This window comes from Homo sapiens, chromosome 11 (assembly GCF_000001405.40).
Source record: "Homo sapiens chromosome 11, GRCh38.p14 Primary Assembly".
Taxonomy (NCBI): Eukaryota; Metazoa; Chordata; class Mammalia; order Primates; family Hominidae; genus Homo; species Homo sapiens.
Window position 1 is genome coordinate 62,408,650 of NC_000011.10, and position 22,811 is coordinate 62,431,460.

General features: G+C 50.7%; 1 protein-coding gene and 1 long non-coding RNA gene across 6 annotated transcripts, besides 4 other annotated features; one reads left to right on the forward strand and one right to left on the reverse strand.

Moving 5' to 3' along the window:
* Positions 1-1,446: 1,446 nt before the first annotated feature.
* LOC102723765 (uncharacterized) lies at positions 1,447-19,175 on the reverse strand. 5 transcript variants are annotated; one of them, XR_007062699.1, is made up of 4 exons: positions 18,038-18,274; positions 8,056-8,201; positions 2,528-3,363; positions 1,447-1,959 (listed from the first exon to the last, which is right to left on the reverse strand). It is a non-coding gene; the product is annotated as an uncharacterized LOC102723765 (long non-coding RNA). The 5 variants fall into 5 exon arrangements; XR_001748247.2 differs by lacking the exon at positions 1,447-1,959 and adding an exon at positions 19,056-19,175 and having other exon boundaries at positions 18,038-18,175; XR_001748250.2 differs by lacking the exon at positions 1,447-1,959 and having other exon boundaries at positions 2,528-3,110; positions 3,256-3,363.
* Positions 9,408-9,702: a silencer, noted in NCBI's record as "tiled region #15173; HepG2 Repressive non-DNase unmatched - State 21:Repr". NCBI's record gives its function as "represses a minimal TATA promoter and a strong SV40 promoter by Sharpr-MPRA in HepG2 cells {active_cell/tissue: HepG2}" and the evidence as "EXISTENCE:reporter gene assay evidence [ECO:0000049][PMID:27701403]".
* SCGB1A1 (secretoglobin family 1A member 1) lies at positions 10,384-14,546 on the forward strand. The gene is made up of 3 exons (NM_003357.5): positions 10,384-10,501; positions 13,572-13,759; positions 14,410-14,546. The coding sequence occupies exons 1-3, from the start codon at positions 10,447-10,449 to the stop codon at positions 14,440-14,442; spliced, it is 276 nt and encodes a 91-aa protein (NP_003348.1). The 5' UTR covers positions 10,384-10,446; the 3' UTR covers positions 14,443-14,546.
* Positions 15,963-16,052: an enhancer, noted in NCBI's record as "active region_4815". NCBI's record gives its function as "activates an Ori minimal core promoter by ATAC-STARR-seq in GM12878 lymphoblastoid cells {active_cell/tissue: GM12878}" and the evidence as "EXISTENCE:reporter gene assay evidence [ECO:0000049][PMID:35858748]".
* Positions 16,093-16,162: an enhancer, noted in NCBI's record as "active region_4816". NCBI's record gives its function as "activates an Ori minimal core promoter by ATAC-STARR-seq in GM12878 lymphoblastoid cells {active_cell/tissue: GM12878}" and the evidence as "EXISTENCE:reporter gene assay evidence [ECO:0000049][PMID:35858748]".
* Positions 17,512-18,059: an enhancer, noted in NCBI's record as "H3K27ac-H3K4me1 hESC enhancer chr11:62193633-62194180 (GRCh37/hg19 assembly coordinates)". NCBI's record gives its function as "activates a minimal SCP1, AML or CMV promoter by ChIP-STARR-seq in naive H9 embryonic stem cells {active_cell/tissue: H9 hESC(naive)}" and the evidence as "EXISTENCE:reporter gene assay evidence [ECO:0000049][PMID:30033119]".
* Positions 19,176-22,811: the final 3,636 nt, after the last annotated feature.

Sequence of the window (22,811 nt, forward strand, 5' to 3'; positions counted from 1 at the left end):
AATTTTTGTTTGTTTGTTTTTGTTTTTGTGTTTGAGACAGAGTCTCCCTGTTGTTGCCCAGGCTGGAGTGCAATGGCATGATCTCAGCTCACCACAACCTCCACCTCCTGGGTTCAAGCGATTCTCCTGCCTCAGCCTCCCAAGTAGCTGGGACTACAGACATGCGCCACCATGTCCGGCTAATTTTGTATTTTTAGTAGAGACAGGGTTTCTCCATGTTGGTCAGGCTGGTCTTGAACTCCTGACATCAGGTGATCCACCCGCCTCGGCTTCCCAAATTGCTGGGATTACAGGAGTGAGTCACCACACCTGGCGTTACTCAATAATTTACATAAAATATTACTATATCAGATGATAACCAAAATATCAAAATCTGGTTAGGTAAATATAAAAACTATTGGATAAATCAGCCAGGCACAGTGCTCATGACTGTAATCCCAGCACCTTGGGAGGCCAAAGCAGGAGGATTGCTGGAGTTCAGGAGTTCAAAACCAACCTGGGCAACATAGTGGGACCCCCATCTCCACAAAAAAAAAATTTTTTTTTCGAGACAGAGTCTCGCTCTGTCGCCCAGGCTGGAGTGCAGTGGCGCGATCTCAGCTCACTGCAAGCTCCGCCTCCCGGGTTCACGCCATTCTCCTGCCTCAGCCTCCTGAGTAGCTGGGATCACAGGCACCCGCCACCACACCCGGCTAAGTTTTGTATTTTTAGTAGAGATAGGGTTTCACTATGTTGGTCAGGCTGAAAAATTTTTTTTAAATAGCAGGGCATGGTGGCACTTGCCTGTGGTCCCAGCTACTCAGGAGGATCATTAAAAAATGATCCTCCCCAGGTGTCCAATTCTCCAGGTAAGCTACCAGAGAGACCAAGCCTTAGTGAGGTGGCAGAGCTCCTGAGTGGGTTTGAAGAGTCTGAGAACAGAGAGAAGAGCCCTCCAAGAACAGGCTGGGTATGGCAGCTCACGCCTGTAATCCCAACAATTTGGGAGGCTGAGGCAGGTGGATCACTTGAGGTCAGGAGTTCGAGACCAGCCTGGCCAACATGGTGAAACCCCATCTCTACTAAAAATACAAAAATTAGCCAGGCATGGTGGCGTGTGCCTGTAATCCCAGCTACTCGGGAGACTGAGGCAGGAGAATCGCTTGAACCCGGGAGGCGGAGGTTGCAGTGAGCCAATTTGGCACCACTGCAGTCCAGCCTAGGTGACAGAGTGAGTCTCTGTCTGAAGAAGGAGAAGGAGAAGAAGAAGAAGAAATGGGTGTGTGTGCTACACGGAGGCAGGTAGGCCACAGCAGTCTTCCCAGGCCCCAGCACAGCGTGGGAGCAGTAAGACTCCTGTGCACCCAGGAGTGGCTCCAAGGTGGCAGAGAAAGCCAGCGAGCTGGAGACATGCGAACAGTGCCAAGGACACACAGGAGCAGATGGCACGGCGGATAGCCAATGACAAGAGACAGGCTGACAGGTGACCTCAAGCACCAGAAATCCTGCCAACGCCGAGCCCCCTGGAAGTCAGGCACAGCCCCAGGGAGGGAGACCCCAAGATGACCAAGATTAAGTTTCTGTCCCCTTAACAGAATGAAGGCTTGAGACTGAAATTACATTTTATTTTAGCTATATTAGTTACATTATAAATATTTTTTTCTTTTTTTTTTTCTTTTTTTTTTTTTGAGACGGGGTTTATCCCTTGTTGCCAGGCTGGAGTGCAATGGTGCAATCTCGGCTCACCACAACCTCCGCCTCCCCGGTTCAAGCGATTCTCCTGCCTCAGCTTCCCGAGTAGCTGGGATTACAGGCATGCGCCACCACCCCCAGCTGATTTTGTATTTTTAGTAGAGATGGGGTTTCTCCATGTTGGTCACACTGGTCTCCAACTCTCGACCTCAGGTGATCCGCCTGCCTCAGCCTCCCAAAGTGCTGGCATTACAGGTGTAAGCCACCTTGCCTGGCCATAAATATTTTCTGTCATGTAGTAGATGTCACATATATATAAAATACATAAATATAAAAATAAAATATAACGATGTATATTTGTTATAAAAATAAAAAGAAGCACGGGGATAGAGGGAAGTTCTATTTCATTTTGTGAACACCTGCATTTGAGACCCTGAATCACCCTGTACTCCCTGATGAACGAAAAGTGACAGGGTGCCCAGATGGAACAGCATCAGGCCATTGGCTGGGGGAGCAGACCAGGGCCTCGCCAGACTCTCTGGGCACAGCCTCACTGGGCTGCAGAGCATTAAGGCCTGAAGGAGCCCCTGGTTGCCTTCTCTACCCACTCCCTGTGTGCACAAGGCACCTGCAGCCCTGCAAGGCCCCCTCAGCCTTCAGCAGCCGAGTTGTCCCTGATTCAAGTCTACTGACCACGCCAGCTCCTCCCTGTACAACCCACCCTTAGGGCACTGGCCATGTTGGGGGAATAGGGGCCTTGGCAGTGACCTGCCAAATCTACAAGTGGGAACAAGCTCAGGGCAGGGAAAGTGGGAGAGGGCAGACAGGCACGGAGGGCAGGACCTGGGTGACTCACCCGCAGAACAAAGAACCTGCAGAAGTAAGCGAGAAAGTAAGCTGGCATCCTGGCCAAGGTCAACTGGTGATCATGTCATTCTGCTGTCAACCCCAAATCTGCTGCCCAAATCCCCAGAGCTGGCCTGTACAATGGAGGGGAGCCAGTTTCCATCCCGCAGAACAGGGACTTCGGTCCGCTTTACTGTCCCCACCCCTCAGAGGGAGCTCATCCCAGAGCAAAGGGCCTGCTGGTTCTGCCAGTGGCCTTGGGAAGGTACATTCCCAGCTCCCACCCCACTCCTTCTATGACTTGCAGCTCAAGGAGCATGAGAAAGTGCCCAGATCCCCAACAGGTCCCAGCCTGCCCCCTCCCTCCCTGAAACCCTGGGCTCCATCTGCAGAAACAGGGAAAGCCAGGTCCCTCTGTGCCTGGGCACAGCTCACAGCTGGTTGTTGTGGGGGGAGTTGCCCACAGGATGCCACTTTGCAGCCCAGAAGGACATCCATATGCCGGGCAGACGGGAACATCTCTGCAGATTCTTAATATGCTGCTCACATCCTAGTTTGTGGGCCGAGTGACAACTGGGAAAGTGACCAAGATCCTGGTGGAAAATCAGAACAGTTGACAACCACACTCCCCCACCTCTCACACCTTCCCACTCCTGCTTCCCCAGGCCTGGCGTATTACCACCAACAACCACTCTGGAGTGGGAGCTGAAGGGCTCCCAGGCTAGGGAGAGTACCTACAAATGAAGAGTGGTCGCTCCTCTAAATCCAGGCACCTCTCCCACAGAAAGAGTCCCCAGGGCGGGAGGAGGCACACGCGTTGCTCTGTGGTTTGTAACAGCAGAAAAACTGGAAAAAAAAAAAAGTGCAAACGTCCATCAATAAGGCACTGGAAAATTAAATTACATTATATCCCTGCAAAGATGACATTACATCCATGAAAAGGGATATCCCACAGCATGAAAAAATCAAAGGTGTCCAGGCACGGTGGCTCATGCCTATAATCCCAGCACTTTGGGAGGCTAAGATGGGCTGATCACCTGAGGTCAGGAGTTCAAGACCAGCCTGGCCAACATGGTGAAACCCCGTCTCTACTAAAAATACAAAAAATTAGCCAAGCATGGTGGCGCCTGCCTGTAGTCTCAGCTACTTGGGAGGGTGAGGCAGGAGAATCACTTGAACCTGGGAGGCGGAGGTTACAAGTGAGCCGAGATCATACCACTGCACTCCAACCTGGATGACAAGAGTGAAACTCCATCTCAAAAAAAAAAAAAAAAAAAGAAAAGAAAAAGAAAATTAGCCGGATGTGGTGGCACACAACTGCAGTCCCAGCTACCCAAGAGATTGAGGCAGGAGGTTCCCTTGAGCCCAGAAGTTTGAGGCTACAGTGAGCCGTGATCACACCACTGCACTCCAGCCTAGGTGACAGAACAAGATCCTGTCTCAGAAAATAATAATAGGCCGGGCACGGTGGCTCACACCTGTAATCCCAGCACTTTGGAAGGCCGAGGCGGGCGGGTCACTTGAGGTCAGGAGTTCAAGACCAACCTAGCCAACATGGCGAAACCCCATCTCTACTAAACATACAAAAAATTAGCCAGGTGTGGTGGTGCATGCCTGTAGTCCCAGCTACTCAGGGGGCTGAGGCACGAGAATCGCTTGAACCTGGGAGGCAGAGGTTGCAGTGAGCCGAGATCATGCCATCATGCCACTGCACTCCAGCCTGGGTGACAGAGCGAGACTCTGTCTCAAAAAATAATAATAATAATAATTTTGACCCTAAAAACGGATTATGCATTTGGTACATATAATTTAAACTTTATTACATTTGCATACAACTACATAATAGTTGAACTAAAATGCAGTTTACTCGTTGAAATTGTTATCAATATCCATTAATTACAATTTTGAGATTTTCTTTTTGTGTTTTGCAGCCAGCAGATACATGACCATTTTTGAGGCCATCTAAAGGCTCACAGGCCCTAGGCATTGTGGCTGGTGGACAGAAAGGCTGGAATGTCCAGAGGTTGCCAGGCTCCTCCTAGGAGGTCCCTGGGTCAATCAATGCAGGCGTCAGCCCCAGGAGCTGCCAAGGCAGAAGAGAATGAACCAAACCCCTAAGGAAAAACCTACTCTGCTCAAGAGTTATTTCCTGAGCACTAGAAGAGCTGGATACTCAGGGTGGAGGGAGGAAGCTGACCTCTACGGCTTGCCCCGGGAGCTGACCCAAGCCCATGGCCCGACTAGTCCTCCCCCAGCAGCCCAGCCGGATGGATAGGCTCGGAACAGGCCGCCAACCTGTTGTCTGGGCCACGCTGGGACTTGCAGCCAGCCAGCTGCCAGCACACTGCACCCCAGCTTCCTGCTCATTACAATACACCAAGCACTGAACCTGGGGGCAAGCACCTGGCCTCAGCCAATGCCTTCTGGCAGTATGGGCTGGGGCTGCTGCTGGCCCAACCCCTCCCACCTGCCATTGCCACCAGACCTCTAGCTGGGGACATAGGCAGGGCTCCCCAAGGAGCACTGAACATGGCTCAACAACCTGGCACCCACATGTGCACCCACCATATCCCATACATGGAGGAGGGGCCAGCAGATCCAGGGCCTTGTAGTCCAAATACCCAGGAGAGGCTTCCAGGCCCCTTAGTACCCTCCCGCTTCTGGCTCTGGAGAGGCTCTTTCTCCTGCTCCATTCTCAAAGGCCAGAGCCAGGCCAAAGGTGCTCACGTCATCCCAGCTGGAGCCTGGGCAAGGGGTGAGCTCAGAGCAGGCTCCCCAGCCACTGCCCCAGCTGGAAGGTTCAGCCACCCAAGGACCAGGGCTCCCCCAGATCTAGGCACAGCCAACACAGGGTTTGGGGTGCAGGATTTGGCAGGAGCTGTTCCGATTCACTGCCATCCTCATGGTACTAATAGCCACATGGCTTATCTTCCCTCGGAACAGTTTGTCTTTGCACGGTGACCAGGTAGGTAACTGACCACATGTGGCCAGAAACAGCAGGTCCCAGTCCTCTCCACATGCTAAGTCAGGCTTGAGGGTTCTGGCCTGGAACTCACAGTGTATAGAGTTTAAGGATTTGAGGAGCAGGTGTTAGAGTTTAAGAAGTTCTGAGTTCTGGCCAGGCATGGTGACTCACGCCTATAATCCCAGCACTTGCGGAGGCCAAGGCGGGAGAATCACCTGAGGTCAGAATTTGGAGACCAGCCTGGCCAACATGGTGAAATCCCATCTTTATTAATAATACGAAAATTAACAGGGCGTGGTGACGCACGCCTATAATACCAGCTATTTGGGAGGCTGAGGCAGGAGAATCGTCTGAACTCGGGAGGTGGAGGTTGCAGTGAGCCGCTGAGATCGTGCCATTGCACTCCAGCCTACGCAACAAAAGCGAAACTCCGTTTCCAGAAAAAAAAAAAAAAAAGCTCTGAGTTCCAAGCCTTGACTAACACACTTTTTGCCTCACTATCTCAAGCAGAGGGTCAGAAGAGCAGGGGCTTTGCAGGGTCCTGAGGCAGGGGAGAGAAACACCCACCGCCACCAAGCAGGATCTCCCAAGGGCCAGATGGCAGAGCCTATCTGGGACACTTGGTGGTGGCAGTCGAGGTACCTTCCAGAATCAGAGCAAACCTCCAACCTCGCACCTGAAAGGCCAGTGCCCCCGGTGCCCCCAGACTCCCACTGTACCTGTGTGCTTATCTGTCCCATGCATGTCGGACCATGGCCAGGTCCCCTCCTGAGCCTGGGCCCCCTTCATGTGGCTTCCTCCTCCTGGCACATCCCCCGCTTCACCCCAACCACCAGCATCACCCATCCACCAGAGGCCAGCTCAAATGCCAGCCCTCCACGTGCCCTCTCCCCTCTGCCCAGCTACCTTTCTTGGGGCAGCCCCCTTTCTTTTTTTTTTTTTTTTTTTCCTTTTTTTTTGAGACGGAGTTTCGCTCTTGTTGCCCAGGCTGGAGTGCAGTGACGCGATCTCGGCTCACCGCAACCTCTGCCTCCCAGGTTCAAGCGATTCTTCTGCCTCAGCCTCCCAAGTAGCTGGGATTACAGGCAAGCACCACCACAAGCCCAGCCAATTTTGTATTTTTAGTACAGACAGGGTTTCTCCATGTTGTTCAGGCTGGTCTCGAACTCCCAACCTCAGGTGATCCGCCTGCCTTGGCCTCCCAAAGTGCTGGGATTACAGGCATGAGCCACCACGCCCAGCCTGGGGGCAGCCCCCTTTCAACTCCCGGAGCACCATTTCCTTCTCTGACTTCCTCCATCTCCCCACAGAGCATTCCCATCAGTTGCACCCATCTCTGTCTCTCCTCCTAGCTGTTAAGTTCCTCAAAGACCCAGGAGCCAGCTATCCTGTCCCCAGGACCTCGCACCATGAAGGTGGAAAGTAGAGAGCAGAGTCTGAGGCTATGGGTGATGTGACTCCTGCCTAAGACCCCTGCAGCCATCACAGCTGCCCCGGCCAGACCAGCCACTGCCCACAGAGGGATCCACTAGTGGCGGCACTGGATGGGCTTTAGGTGCCCCCAGTGGTCCAGCTCATCTTCCTTGCCCATTTCAGCTCCATTGGCCACAGCTTTCTTTTGTTTGTTTGTTTGTTTATTTATTTATTTATTTTTGAGATGGAGTTTCGCTCTTGTTGTCCAGGCTGGAGTGCAATGGTGTGATCTCGGCTCACTGCAACCTCCACCTCCTGGGCTCAAGTGATTCTCCTGCCTCAGCCTCCCAAGTAGCTGGGATTACAAGCACCTGCCACCACGCCCGGCTAATTTTTGTATTTTTAGTAGAGAGGGGGTTTCACCATGTTGGCCAGGCTGGTCTCAAACTCTCGACGACCTCAGTTGATCTGCCCTCCTCAGCCTCCCAAAGTGCTGGGGTTACAGGCAGGCTACACCTTTCAACAGTCCCTAAGAGGGGAGGGATGCAGACACCTGAAATCCTCAAGATGGGCTAACCTCAAGAGCCCAGATGATGGGACACAGAAGGAAACTTAAAAGAAAGAAGGCACTTCTGAGATGCTTTATGCAAATACAAGCAAATGCATATGTGGATTCTTTTTGCTTTTTTTTGAGACGGAGTCATGCTCTGTCACCAGGCTGGAGGTGCAGTGGCATGATCTCGGCTCACTGCAACCTCTGCCTCCTGGGCTCAAGTGATTCTCGTGCCTCAGCCTCCCGAGTAGCTGGGATTACAGGCAAGCGCCACCATACCCAGCTTTTTGTATTTTTTTAGTAGAGACGGGGTTTCACTATGTTGGCCAGGATGGTCTCAATCTGACCTTGTGATCCACCCGCCTCAGCCTCCCAAAGTGCTGGGATTACAGGCGTGAGCCACCGCGCCCAGCCTTCTCTTTGTTCTTTTTTGCTCTATTCATGCCTTGTTTTTCCCCCTTTGCAGTCTGCCTTGGAGATCATTTCACCATCAGCTCAGAAGATCTTCTTTCTCTGTTTTCAGCCACACAGCGTTTCATTGTAAGGACACACCATAACGTACTTGACAAGTCTTTGTTGGTTGCTAGTTTAGAACGTGTGCTCTTACCGGTGTTAAGGCGTCTCGGAGTGGGACGGTTCCGGGGTCACCACAGCCTTCAACTGTCACATGGCACAAAGGCCTCATGCATGGATTCATTCCAGGGATTCCTGTTTAGCAAGCGTTGCGTACCTTGGCTTACAGCGGCCTCAGCCCTAAAGGAGGTCAGTCAAGTAAAGGAGTCATACAAGAAAATAAGAATTGCAAAGTTAAAATATTGTATAATGGGCCCTGTAAGCAGAGGGGGAAGAGAGGCCCATGGGGAGAGTCACCACCCATCAGAACCACCTGTCGGGGAAGGCTTCACTCCCTATTTTCACCCCCAACCCTATTTTTCCCAAGTCTTCTCTGTGTCAGGAAATAACACCCCATTCCCCCAGCTGCCCAAGTCAGGGTCAGTTCATCAGGAAAGGGATATCAGACCATGTCACTCCCTGATTAAAACCTTCAAGAGCTTCCCACTCTGAGTGTAAAGGCCTTAGAACGAGGCCTTGTGTGCTCTGGCCCCTGAATGCCCCCTTTGCAGGCACAGCAACCCTTTCGAAGCCCTCAGGCACAATGGGGTCCTTCTTTTTTTTTTTTTTTTCTGAGACGGAGTTTTGCTCTTGTTGCCCAGGCTGGAGTGCAATGGCGTGATCTCAGCTCACCGCAATCTATGACTCCCAGATTCAAGCAATTCTCCTGCCTCAGCCTCCCAAGTAGCTGGGATTACAGGTGCCCACCACCACATCCAGCTAATTTTTGTATTTTTAGTAGAGACGGGGTTTCATCATGTCAGCCAGGCTGGTCTCAAACTCCTGACCTTAGGTGATCCACCTGCCTCAGCCTCCCAAAGTCCTGGGATTACAGGCATGAGCCACCCTGTCTGGCCTTTTATTTGTTTATTTATTTTTATTTATTTATTTATTTTTGAGGAGTTCTTGAAGTGCCACGCAATGCCTCTCCATGTCTATCTACCCCAGTTCCCGACTCCTAGCACCACATCTGGCACATCATAGGTGGTCAGCATTTATTGGATGAATGAATGGATCAATATTTGATTGAGTCTTGAAGTACGAATAGAATTTGGCGAAGTGGACAAGGCAGGAAATGTGTATTCAGGCATGAGGCTTAGCTTGTGCATAGGTAGAAAGGCATGAAAAAACATGGAACATTCTCGAATCCACAAATAGTAAGAGAGGGCTAAGTCGTTGTGTGGGGGAGAGGAGAAATGAAGTTCAAATGGTAGGCAAAGGTCAGTGGGCAAGGGCCTTGTAAATTGCACTTGAATTTTATTCTTTAGGCAAAAGGAAGAGTTTAAGGGTTTCAAGAAGAAGGACACGACCAGTGGGTTTTAGGAAGATCATTCTGATGGCCTTTCAGAGGATGGCTGAGGAGAGCTAGCAGGGAGGCAGGGAGGTCGAGTCAGGGGATTTTGACCAGGCCAGGTTAGGTGCTATGAGGCCCGGGCTTTGGAGAAGAACCAGGAAATGGCAACTGGAGGCAAGAAAGGGGAGAAGGCCAAAGCCTGGGAACCATCAACACTTAAGAACAGTAAAGAATAAACATCTAAAGAGAACAAGAAGGAATGGCCAGAAGAAGGAAAACAGGAAAGAACTGAGGCGTGGGAGCGCAAGAGAGAGAATGGTTCGAGAAGGAAGCAGTCACAGGTGTCAAGGCCATTGGGAGGTCAAGTGAGATAAGGACTGAAGGTCCCACCAATTGGGCCATCAGGAGCACAGGACTTGAGAGCACTTCTGGGTGGGAACAGACCCAGCCTGGGGCAGGGCTCAGGTTTCTGATGGGAATTCTGGAAGGGTCCCTTTTATTCAACATGCTTCAATCCAGGGGCCCCCGAAGTCTGACCACAGCAATGCTCCAAACCATGTGTCTTTCCTGGCTTAAGGTTCAGTCGCCCTCCTCAGAGGGGAGCCTATGAAAGAGCCCAGTGGAGTGTCAGGGTCCTGAGTCCTAGTCCTAGTCCTGTCCCTGCCACTTGTGAGGGAACTTGGGCCTCAGTTTCTCCAGGTGGGCTCCACAATTGCTTCTCTTGATCTGGACTGCCCCAGTGCCCAGGTTCAGTGAGTGACACAGGCAGCTGGGTTTCCACATCCTCTGACTTGGGTTCCCTTCACTGCCTCCAGGCAGGGCTCGGCCCTCCACCCCCAAGTGGCCCATTGTGTGAGCTCAGTTTCAGTGGGGACAGAAACTGGGTTGAGAAAAGGGAATATTTACCTATCCCACCAAGCCAATGCCAAGTAAATAGTGCAGTATCTTATGTAGAGCCCTTGCCCTGCCCTTCCCCATCTGGGTGCTGCTGCCTAGAGCATATAAAAGGCACCTTGCTGGGCATGTCTCATACTAGCCCACCAGACTCAGAGACGGAACCAGAGACGGGCCAGAGCATCCCCCTCCTCCACCATGAAACTCGCTGTCACCCTCACCCTGGTCACACTGGCTCTCTGCTGCAGCTCCGGTGAGTGCTCAGAGACCCTTCCCTCCCTCCTGGACTTAGGAACTCTCAGGACCCCCCAGTTCTGCTCAGAAGAAGGAGTGAGCTGCCCATTCCTGCTCTGGAGCTGCTGGGAGGACCTGGGCATGCTGAGTCTCAGAAAACTGGGTCTGGTGAGCAAGCTCATCTTGGAAACTTGGAGAGAGCCCCAGGCTGTAAGGAAGCCTAAAAAGGGTCCCATCTTCTATATCCAACAACCCTCAGAATCCCAGGGAATGGAATAGCCTGGAGGGAGGAGTGGAGAATACCCCATAAAGATGAGTACATCCAGCATAGGAATAATGAGGCCCTCATCCCAGATCTGGACAGACTCCAAGATGCTGAGACCTTGGTGCAGCCTCCAAGTCTGGGGTCTCCACTCCATGCTGGCAGCTGAAGTCACTGGAAGGGGAGCTGCAGGGACTCGTGACCCCAAAAGAAACCCAACCCAAGACAAGGTCTCTCATTCTGGGCACAGAGGAATATTCCAGAAAGAGAGCTTCCCTTTGGGGAACTGCCAACCCAGAGTGAAGTTTTCTAAACATTTCCGTCCTCTGCAAAAGGGATTAGGAGTCTCTGAGTAGTTGCTGCTGTCACTAAAAGGAAAAGAACTGTGGGGGGAAGAGGGGCAGAAAGAGAGACGGAGAGAGGGGGAGAAAGGAAGGAAAGAAGGATCACAGCTCTCTCCAAGATCCCCCGTCTTTGGGGAACTGGGTTATCTAACTCTGTTTTTCACTCTGCGTCAGCCTCTTCCATTCTCATCTGAAAATGCTGTTGTTATTTTTTAATAAACAAACTCCAATTAATTCACTTGGAAAGCTTCACAACACCCATGGAGATAAGTTTTATGACCCTGGGGAGTTAGAAAACCCAAACCAAGAAGCAGTAGGAACAACTATTTTGCAGAGAGGTTTATTTGTTTTTCAGAGAAAATGACATCATTTTGGACTGAAATGTGTATTAATTAGAAGATCTCAGTGCTGTCTGCGTACAGAGGTGGGTGGCTGAGCAAGATAGGACTGCAACATGTTAAGGGGTGGGTCAGAGATGCATTTGTCTATTTGTGTGCACATGCATACAATATTTAACACTTACTTCACACAATGTGCCAATCACTGTCACCCTTTCACATAATATCTCTTTTCATTCTTTTTTTTTTTTTTTTTTGAGACAGAGTCTCGCTCTGTTGCCAGGCTGGAGTGCAGTGGCGCGATCTCAGCTCACTGCAACCTCCGCCTCCCGGGTTCAAGCGATTCTCCTGCCTCAGCCTCCCAAGTAGGTGGGATTACAGGCACGCACCACTGCACCCAGCTAATTTTTGTATTTTTAGTAGAGACAGGGTTTCACCATGTTGGCCAGGATGGTCTCCATCTCTTGACCTCGTGATCCACCCACCTAGGCCTCCCAAAGTGCTGGGATTAGGCGTGAGCCACCATGCCTGGCCTCTCTTTTTATTCTTACAACAACCCTATGAAGTAGGGATATTGGGCCAGGCACGGTGGCTCACGCCTGTAATCCCAGCAATTTGGGAGGCCGAGGTGGGTAGATCACTTGAGGTCAGGAGTTCAGGACCAACCTGGCCAACATGGTGAAACCTTGTCTCTATTAAAAATACAAAAATTAGCCAGGCATGGTGGCGCATGCCTGTAGTCCCAGCTACTTGGGAGGCCGAGGCAGGAGAATCACTTGAACCTGGGAGGCAGAGGTTGCAGTCAGCCGAGATGGCATCACTGCACTCCAGCCTGGGCAATAGAGCGAGACTCCGTCTGAAAACAAATAAATAAATAAAAATAAAATTTAAATTAAATTAAAATTTAAAAAATAAAAAATAAAATGAAGTAGGGATATTGTTCCCATTTTACAGATGAGAAAACTGAGCTACAGAAACACAGAGTGACTTGCCTGGTGACACAGTAAGTTACACATCAAGGACCTAAGTTCTGGAGAGGGTCTGACTTGGAGTGGCAATTTCTAGTGAGGCCCTAGAGTCAGAGGAGGGAAGGCAAATTTGTTCAGAAGGCAGAGAATTCAAGGAAAAGGGATTTGAGACTCACTGGGAAGATGGAGGCAAGCAGTGGGTAGAAAATGGTGACTTTCCCCCATGTTCCTGGTTGTAAGGACCTGAGAAGAAAACAGAGTCTGGAAGCTCTGTGTTGAAGGGAATGAAGTGGTACAAGTGGCTGCTCTGTCCATGAGCTGAGTGTGCCACAGGGCCCGCTGTGCACATGTGCACACCTCTTCCCGGCCAGGTTCGGGGGCCCATGTTTGGCTGGTACAATCTCAATGGCTTCTTTTCTTTTCTTTTCTTTTCTTCTTTTTCTTTTCTCTTGCTTGCTTGCTTGCTTGCTTGCTTGCTTGCTTTTTGAGACAGAATCTCGCTCTGTTGCCCAGGCTGGAGTGCAGTGACGAGATCTCAGCTCACTGCAACTTCTGCTTCCTGGATTCAAGTGATTCTCCTGCCTCAGCCTCCTGAGTAGCTAGGATTACGGGTGCCCAGAACCACGCCCGGCTAATTTTTTGTATTTTTAGTAGAGACGGGGTTTCACCATGTTGGCCAGGCTGGTCTCGAACTCCTGACCTCGTGATCTGCCTGCCTCGGCCTCCCAAAGTGCTGGGATTACAGGTGTGAGCCACCGTGCCTGGCTTACAATCGCTTTTTCCTGCCAGAGCCTGAATTTGTCACATGCCCCCAGTGAAGCATGGCTCAGGGCATCTCTAACCACTGATGAGAGGCAAGTTTCTGGTGGGAAATAAAACCCTCAGTGGCCTCTTCCCAGCCTCCACACTGCATTAAAAAATCAGGCCAGCAGCTTCTATGATCAATACTCTGCCTTGATCTCCAACAGAAAGAAAAACGGCACCTTGCTCACCTCAACCCAAGAAGTCTAAGGAAGACTCGGGCAATCCACAAATCTTACACTCTAGTCCATCGATGAAAAGGCTGCTATCTCTCGCTGATGGGCCTGGCTGTTTGCATCTGGGCAGACCCAGCCAGAGGGCTAGCCAGCTTGGAAAGGGGCCTGGAGACATGTGCCTTCTCTCCTCTGTGTTGCAGCTTCTGCAGAGATCTGCCCGAGCTTTCAGCGTGTCATCGAAACCCTCCTCATGGACACACCCTCCAGTTATGAGGCTGCCATGGAACTTTTCAGCCCTGATCAAGACATGAGGGAGGCAGGGGCTCAGCTGAAGAAGCTGGTGGACACCCTCCCCCAAAAGCCCAGAGAAAGCATCATTAAGCTCATGGTAACCAGCACCTTTCACGTCACACTGGTTAGAAGTGGCTTCCCCAAGTGGGGCTGCAGGATTGCCCCAGTTTTCAGACCTGTTTCTAATCCAGAGAGGAGAGTCACAGTGCCACTGTCCCCAGGCAGGCAGCACAGTGATCTTTCTAGACATCTCCTCTTCCTTTTTTTTTTTTTTTTTTTTTGAGACAGAGTCTCGCTCTGTCGCCCAGACTAGGGTGCAATAGCACGATCTTGGCTTACTGCAACCTCCACCTCCCAGGTTCAAGCGATTCTCCGGCCTCAGCCTCTTGAGTAGCTGGGATTACAGGCACCCACCATCATGCCGAGCTAATTTCTGTATTTTTGTAGAGATGGGGTTTCACCGTGTTTGCCAGGCTGGTCTCGAACTCCTGACCTCAGGTGATCCACCCGCCTCAGCCTCCCAAAGTGCTGGCATTACAGGCGTGAGCCACCACGCCCAGCCTCCCCTTACTATTTTGTAAGAGGCTTTTGAGAAACAATCCAAGCCCTTACTACCTTAGTTCCTCCTAGAGTTGACTGCACCTCTCGGTTAATGTTGAAGTTTCTGTGGCTCGTCATCTCTGCCTAACTATGCAATTCATTCACTGTTGTATTGGGTTTTTCTGTTTCTTTGTCTATTTGTTTTAGGAAAAAATAGCCCAAAGCTCACTGTGTAATTAGCATTTAGAAGCTGAAGATCCCCAACTGCTCCAGCCTCTGCCGCTGCCATGCTTTGAGTCCACGCCCACCAGCCTTGCTCTCTTCAATAAACCACAAGCATCTCACTTTTGTGCCCCCTGCGTGGTTTTGGTCTCCTTGTTATGGTGGGGGGTCTGCCCCTGTCAGGGTAAGGTGAGCCAGGACAAAAGGAAAGCAGCCGAGCTCTGCCCTTGGATCCCAGCAGAAATCTCTGTGCTCTTCCAAAGCTCTTTTCCTCTAGGTTTCTGCCTCCAACAGAGCTCAAGCCCCCTCCCCTTATATCAGACCATCTACTCAACATCACAGACTCTACTCAACATCACAGACTCCACTTGTCCAACAGAACCAGTGATCCTGCCCCAGTCTGTTCCTATCTCAGTGAGTTCTGGCTCCATCCTCCCCGCTGGGCTGCACCAGCCTGAGGAGCATCCGCGATCCTTCCTTCTCTAGCCAACCCAGGCTACCTCTAAAGGGCCTCTGGAATCCTTCACTCCAAGTCCACAGGCAACACCCCCATCCCTGCCTGTACAGCCCCCGGGGCCTCCTCTCTGGCTCCCAGCCAGACTCCAGGGCCCCCACAATCCCTTCTCCAACAACCCAAAGGAATTCTTCTCAAGTGCAAAGTCCCTCCCCATCCTTCAAAGCTTTCTAGGGCTCTTATTGTAAAATCCTAAATCCTGACGATAGATAGTGGCCCCTCACCAGTCTTTCCTGTGCTCCTCCTTCCCACGGCTCCTTCATTCTGCTCAGTCCCCACACACACCCCCACCTTCCCTGCCCTCAGTTTTTAAAAAGAGCCAAGCCCCTTTCAACCTTAAGACCTTTGTACCAGCCACACAGCCCTGGCTGCTCAAAAAGTGTGGCTGATGGCCAGGCACGGTGGCTCACGCCGGTAATCCCAGCACTTTGGGAGGCCAAGGCGGGAGGATCACCTGAGGTCAGGAGTTCGAGACCAGCCTGGCCAACATGGTGAAACCCCATCTCTACTAAATATACAAAAAATTAGCCAGGTATGGTGGTGCGTGCCTGTAATCCCAGCTACTCGGGTGGCTGAGGCAGGAGAATCACTTAACCTGGGAGGCAGAGGTTGCAGTGAGCTGAGATCGTGACACTGCACTCCAGCCTGGACAACAAGAGTGAAACTCCATCTCAAAAAAAAAAAAAATTGTGGCTGATTGGTTTTTAAAATTGCTCTAGAGCAAAATGTGCAAAGAATAGAACTCATCCTAAAGATGCATCCATGTGGATATAAAGACCCCCAAATCCCCGGCCAGTTTCATGGCAGCCAGCCCCCTGCTGGGCCACATTATCCACAGCACCTAAATAGAAGCGGAGGATTGGCTGGGCTTGGTGGCTCATGCCTGTAATTCCAGCACTTCGGGAGGCTGAGGTAGGAAGATGGCTTGGGCCCAGGAGTTCAAGACCAGCCTGGCAACATAGTGAGACTCCATCTCTACAAAAATAAAAATAAATTAGCCGAGTTTGGTAACGCATGCCTGTAGAGCTGGCTACTCTGGAGGCTGAGGCAGGAGGATCTCTTGAGTCCAGGAGTTCCAGGCTGCAGTGAGCTATGATCATGCCACTGCACTCCAGCCTGGGTGACAAAGGTGAGACCCTGTCTCAAAAGGAAAGAAAGAAAAAGGTGGAGGACTGCAGAGGGGCTGCAGGAATCGGAAGGGCGTCGGCAGAGGGCACGGAAGGAGGCGGCGGGTTAGAGACGGAGCTCTCCAGTTCGAGCCCCTCCATGGAGCAACGTGGTCCGGTGGGCCTTGTGCCCCGCGGCCACTAGGGGGCAGCATCGTCCACAGGGTCCTGGAGCGGACGCGCTGTCGGGGCTGAGGCACCCAGAGCTCCGGCTCTGAGGATCTGGTGTCATCCGTATAATTTTTTAAATCTCGGCCGTGCGCGGTGGCTGACTCCTGTAATCCCAGCACTTTGGGAGGCCGAGGCGGGTGGATCACCTGAGGTCGGGAGTTCGAGACCAGCCTGTCCAACATGGTGAAACCCCATCTCTACTAAAAATAAAAAATTAGCTGGGTGTGGTGGCGCGCACCTGTAGTCCCAGCTATTTGGGAAGCTGAGGCAGGAGAATCGCTTGAACCCAGGAGGCGGAGGTTGCAGTGAGCCGAGATCGAGATCGCGCCACTGCACTCCAGCCTGGGAGGTTGCAGTGAGCTGAGATTGTGCCATCGCACTCGAAAAAAAAATAATAATAAAAAATATATATATATAAAATAAAAATCTCATATTTTGAAAGTTTTAAAATCCGAATTCTGAGGGAAAACAGGGGCAGCCACACAAACCATGTTGCCACCCGGTTGAACCCTGCCAGGGAGTGATGTGTCAGCCTTTTTGGGATTAGCAATAATTCCATTCCCAGACGATTTCAAGGGCAAGGTTCATGGAATCTAGAACTTGAGATGGCCCCAAAGGTGGAGAAGACCATGCGGAGCTGGCGGGGCTGGCCTTTGACCTCCACCTGCCCGGTTTCTAAAGTCCCCAGGCAGAAACCACAACCCAATAACCCTTATTGATTGCTTAGGTGCTGGCAGGCGCTTTCGCAATCTTTTTTTTTTTTTTTTTTTTTGAGATGGAGTCTTGCTCTGTCTCCAGGCTGGAGTGCAGTGGCATGATCTCAGCTCACTGCAACCTCCAACTCCCTGATTCGAGCAATTCTCCTGCCTCAGCCTCCCGAGTAGATGGGATTACAGGCTCCTGCCATCATGCCTGGCTAATTTTTGTGTTTTAAGTAGAGACAGGGTTTCTCCATGTTGGCCAGGCTGGTCTCGAACTCCTGACCTCAGGTGATCCACCCGCCTTGGCCCCTCAAGGGCTGGGATTACAGGCGTGAACCACCGCGCCCGCCCTCAGCCAGTAGTGGTTTTTTGTTTGTTTGTTTGTTTGTTTGTTTTTGAGACGGAGTCTTGCTCTCTCGCCCAGGCTGGAGTGCAGTGGTGTGATCTTGGCTCACTGCAAGCTCTGCCTCCCGGGTTTGCACCATCCTCCTGCGTCAGCCTCCCGAGTAGCTGGGACTACAGGCGCCCGCCACCACGCCAGGCTAATTTTTCGTATTTTTAGTAGAGATGGGGTTTCACGGTGTTAGCCAGGATGGTCTTGATTTCCTGACCTCGTGATCCACCAGCCTCGGCCTCCCAAAGTGCTGGGATTACAGGCGTGAACCACCGCGCCGGGCCTTGCAATCTCTCAATTACTCCTCACACAACCCAGATTCCAGAGCCCGTGCCCCAACCCCTGCCCTGCAGGTGGTGGTGGGATCCCTAATTCCAGAATCCCCAGAGCCAAAAATCCAAATGATGGTGATGAGCAAAGTCCACCTACCCCCAAACACACACTCACACACACAAACTAGAAAGCCACCGTGCCCTTCATTTTCAGCCACGAAGGAGGGGATCTGATTGTAAAAATTCCGGAGCAGGTTGGGGGACTGGCAACTCCAAAAGAGATTCCTTGCCTCCGGTGGGGCCTTGATGGGGGCTGCCCAGCTCCCTCTCCTCCCCCACTCCCTCCCTGCTGAGGCATCACATTCTCCTTCACCAGGTCATCCTAAAGCACATACCTTTGCGCTGGTGGGCCATCCGCCTGGATGAGTATTGTTTCATCGGATAAGCTTCCAGAGCCATAAAAGGTTCAGAATTTTAATTGCCTATTCACAGCCAAGGGAAACATTTACCCAGGGCCAATGCAAGGCAGGTATCTGAGGAAAAGAAGCACAATTACGGTGCAGAGAGGCTTGAGGCTGGGGACAACACTGCAGGAATCACTGTGGGTGATTCACAAGAATGTGGGCTATGCCAATCCACAGAAATGGGCGTTAAATTTTAAAACAGCAGAATGCAAAGATAAACTGATTGCAACCACAGGAAGAGCATGTAACTGTGTGATGCATGTTGACAGAAAGCAGGAAATTCGAGAAATGAAGGCACTGTTCACTGGGTGCTTTTCTGTCTGTGTGTAGTTACTCACACCAGTTACTCGTGTATTATAGCATGGGTCTGTAGACTATGGCCAGCAGGCTAAGCTCAGGCTATGGCCTATTTTTTTTTTTTTTTTTTTTTGAGACGGTTTCTCACTCTGTGGCCCAGGATGGAGTACAGTGGCGCAATCTCGGCTCACTGCAACCTCCACCTCCCAGGTTCAAGTGATTCTCCTGCCTCAGCCTCCCAAGTAGCTGGGATTACAGGCGCATGCCACCATGGCTGGCTAATTTTGTATTTTTAGTAGAGACAGGTTTCACCATGTTGGTCAGGCTGGTCTTGAACTCCCGACCTCAGGTGATCCGCCCACCTCAGCCTCCCAAAGTGTTGGGATTACAGGCATGAGCCACCGTGCCTGGTCATTTGTTTGTATTCTTAGTAGAGACGGGGTTTCACCATGTTGGTCAGGCTAGTCTCAAACTCCTGACCTCAGGTGATCCACCCGCTTCGGCTTCCCAAAGTGCTGGGATTACAGGCTTGAGCCACCACGCCCCGCTAAGACCACATTTCTTGATCACATTGTCAAGAAAACTGAATCTGAGTGAAAAACTTTTTGAAAGTATCTGTTAACCCTGAAATCTGCAACCAAAGGAAACTTACTCTGGAGGAAAGCTAAAGCAGAATGGTAGTTGTCAAACACCGCCATCACGTTGCAAAATCCAGGGGCTTGTGTCAATGTGCCTGGACTAATTGATCAGTAGGAAAGCTGCCGTTGTGTATGAGAGACAGTTGAGGTTAGCCTGACAGAAATATCTGTAAATGACTCATGAGGCAGGAAGAAGAAGCAAAACCAGCCTTCATTAGCCTTATCACGATGATATGGATAAAATTATGTCTAGTTTGCAGCTGATGCAAGCCCTGCTGTTTTCGAAAGCCAAGGGATTTGTGGGCAGTAATCACCATAGGGGTGTCTGCCACTCAAAATGGCTTCAGATAGACGATCAAGAGAAGTTTTATTGATGATGATGAGGCCACACAAACAATGCATTCTGAAACATGTAATTAGGGGATGTTCCTCCCAAGCACTTTCAGAATACACCAACAGGCACATGGGGATAATGTGAGGATGAATCATCAGTAGTTAGCCACCCAACATATTTCCATGAGCAAACTAAAATTATAAAACTATAGTACATGCAAAAAAATCTGAAAATAGACTGGGCACGGTGGCTCACGCCTATAATCTCAGCACTTTGGGAGGCCGAAGCAGGCGGATCACCTGAGGTCGGGAGTTCGAGACCAGCCTGACCAACATGGAGAAACCCTGTCTCTACTAAAAATACAAAATTAGCCAGGCATGGCGGTGGGTGCCTGAAATCCCAGCTACTCGGGAGGCTGAGGCAGGAGAATCGCTTGAACCTGGGAGGCAGAAGTTGCAGTGAGCCAAGATCGCACCATTGCACTCCAGCCTGGGCAACAAGAGCAAAACTCTGTCCCCAAAAAAAAAAAAATCTGAAAATACATTTAGCTAAGCTAGCATGGGAATTGATTGCCAGCTTGGGAATTGATAAACCGGGGGTTTGGAACTCAGATTTGTTACCCCATCAAGTGAATGGATTCCCAGCTAATCACAAGAGTCTAGTTAACTCTGAAAATACCTGCAGTTATATGCCCATAGCTGTAACTGCCCGGTGGGTTCACCTTGCTCGCTGCCTGGACGGAGCCAATTTATCAAGACAGGGGAATTGCAGTGGAGAAGGAGTAATTCACACAGAGCTGGTGTGTGGGAGACTGGGTTTTATTATTACTCCAAACAGTCTCCCTGAGCATTCGGGGATCGGGGTTTTTAAAGATAATTTGGCGGGTAAGGGCTTGGGAAGCAGGGAGTGCTGATTGGTCAGGCTGGAGATGGAATCCTAGGGGGTGGAAGTGTGGTTTTCTTGCTGTCTTCTGTTCCTGGGGAGGATGGCAGAAATGGTTGAGCCAGATTACCAGTCTGGGTTGTGTCAGCTGATCCATCGAATGCAGGGTCTGCAAACTATCTCAAGCACTGATCTTAGGTTTTACAATAGTGATGTTATCTGCAGGAGCAATCTGGGGAGGCTCAGACTCTTGGAGCCAGAGGCTGCATGACCGCTAAACTAAATTTCTAATCTTGTAGCTAATTTGTTAGTCTTGCAAAGGCAGACTGGTCCACAGGCAAGAATGGGGTTTTTTTTAGGGAAATGGCTATTATCAATTTTGTTTCAGAGTCAAAACATGAACTGAATTCCTTCCCAAAGTTAGTTCAGGCCTATGCCCAGGAATGAACAAGGACAGCTTAAAGGTTAGAAGGAAGATGGAGTCGGTTAGGTCTGATCTCTTTCACTGTCATAATTTCCTCAGTTGTAATTTTTGCAAAGGCGGTTTCACAGCCACCCTGTGTGTGTAACCACGAGGCAGATACCTACAGAGCTTCCTTTAGAGTTCCCTCTTAGGGCTGGGTGCAGTGGCTCAAGCCACTGTGGGAGGCTGAGGCAGGCGGATCACCTGAGGTCAGGAGTTCGAGACCAGCCTGGCCAACATGGCAAAACCCCATCTCTACTAGTAATACAAAAATTACCCGGGCATGATGGCGCATGCCTGTAGTCCCCGCTACAGCTGAGGCAAGAGAATCACTTGAACCCAGGAGGCAGAAGTTGCAGTGGCAGAGGTTGCAGAGGCGGAAGTTGTAGTGAGCCGAGGTTGCAGTAAGCCGAGATCACACCACTGCACTCCAGCCTGGGTGACAGAATGAGACTCCATCTCAAAAATAAAAATGAAAAAGAATTCCCTGTTAGGCCCCTGTCACAAAAGTAGGTACTAATCAGCCCTGGGACAGGATAGAGACTTGATCAGAGGCTCCCTGGGAGCTGTGGAAGGAGGAGCAGGCCTTGGGGCATCAGGAGAGGAGAAAGGGTTGCTGGGCTGGGGGATCTCCTGACCTCCTGACCTTAGGCGTCCAGTCGGTCTCTGAGTCCATCTCAACTTACATGGAATTGATCCCTTTATTTTTTTTTATTTATTTATTTTTGAGATAGGGTCTCACTCTGTCACCCAGGCTGGAGTGCAAGGTTGCAATCACTGCTCACTGCAACCTCCGCCTCCCAGGCTCAAGCAATCCTCCTCCCTCAGCCTCCTGAGTAGCTGGGATGACAGGCGCACACCACCATGCCCAGCTAATTTTTGTATTTTTTTTCATAGATACGGGTTTTCGCCATGTTGGCCAGGCTGGTCTCAAACTCCTGGACTCAAATGATCTGCCAGCCTCTGCCTCCCAAAGTGTTGGGATTACAGGCGTGAGCCACCGTGCCCAGCCCTTATCCCCTTCTCTTGACCCTATTGCCAATTCCAAGCCTTCACCATCTGTGACCTGGATCATTGCAAACAGCCTCTACATTAGTTTCTATGGCTGCTGTAACAACTTACCACAGACTTAATAACTTAAAAACACACAAATTTATGATCTTCTCGTTCTGGAGGCCAGATGTCTGAAATGCATTTCACTGGGCTAAAAACCAAGGTGTTGGCAGGCTGCATTCTTTCTGGAGTCTCCAGGGGAGAATCTGTCTCCTTGTTTTTTCCATTTTCTAAAGGCCACCCGCATTACTTGGCTCATGGCCCCTTCCCCATCTTCAAAGTCAGCAGGGCAGCCTCTGCAATTCTCTCTCCGACACTGATCTCCTCTTCTGCCTCCCACTTCCATTCATAAGGATCTCTGTGATTACACTGGGCCCATCAGATACTCCAAAACAACCTCCCCTCTCACGGTCAGCTGATGAGAAACCTTCATCCATGTGCAACCCTAATTCTCTCTTGCCAGGTAACCTAACACATGCACAGGGTCTGGGGATTAGGACGTGGAGATCCTTGAGGGGCCGTTAATCTGCCTCCTAAATAGTCTCTAAGATTTTAGTCTTACTTCCTTCCCATGATTGCCAAAAATCAAACAGGAAGTTCATGCTTTTGCTTAAAATCCTTCCCTCTTCCTGGTCCCCTGTTGGATAAAGTCCAAACCCCTCACCCATCATCAAAGGCTCCTGGAGATGGTGGCCCTGCTTCCCACTGTGGCCTCAAATCCTGCTGCTTCCCACCTACCCTTCACTTTGAGGGTGCAGCAGTGGATGATGCTCGGAAATAAAACTGCCCTCTGAGTAAGGCTTGTCGATTCATGTCGAGGCACAGACGTTCACATTTGAAACAGGCAACAAATCCATGCCATTCACACTTCCACACTTTTGCAGAAACAGTTCCCGCTAACTGAAATGCTTTCCCTTCCCAAAGTCCCTGGAAGAACCAAACTCCATCCTTCATGACTCACTTGGGACATGCTTATACTAAAAATTGTTTCATTATTTATCTAAAATGCACACTTAACGGGCATACTGTATTTCATTT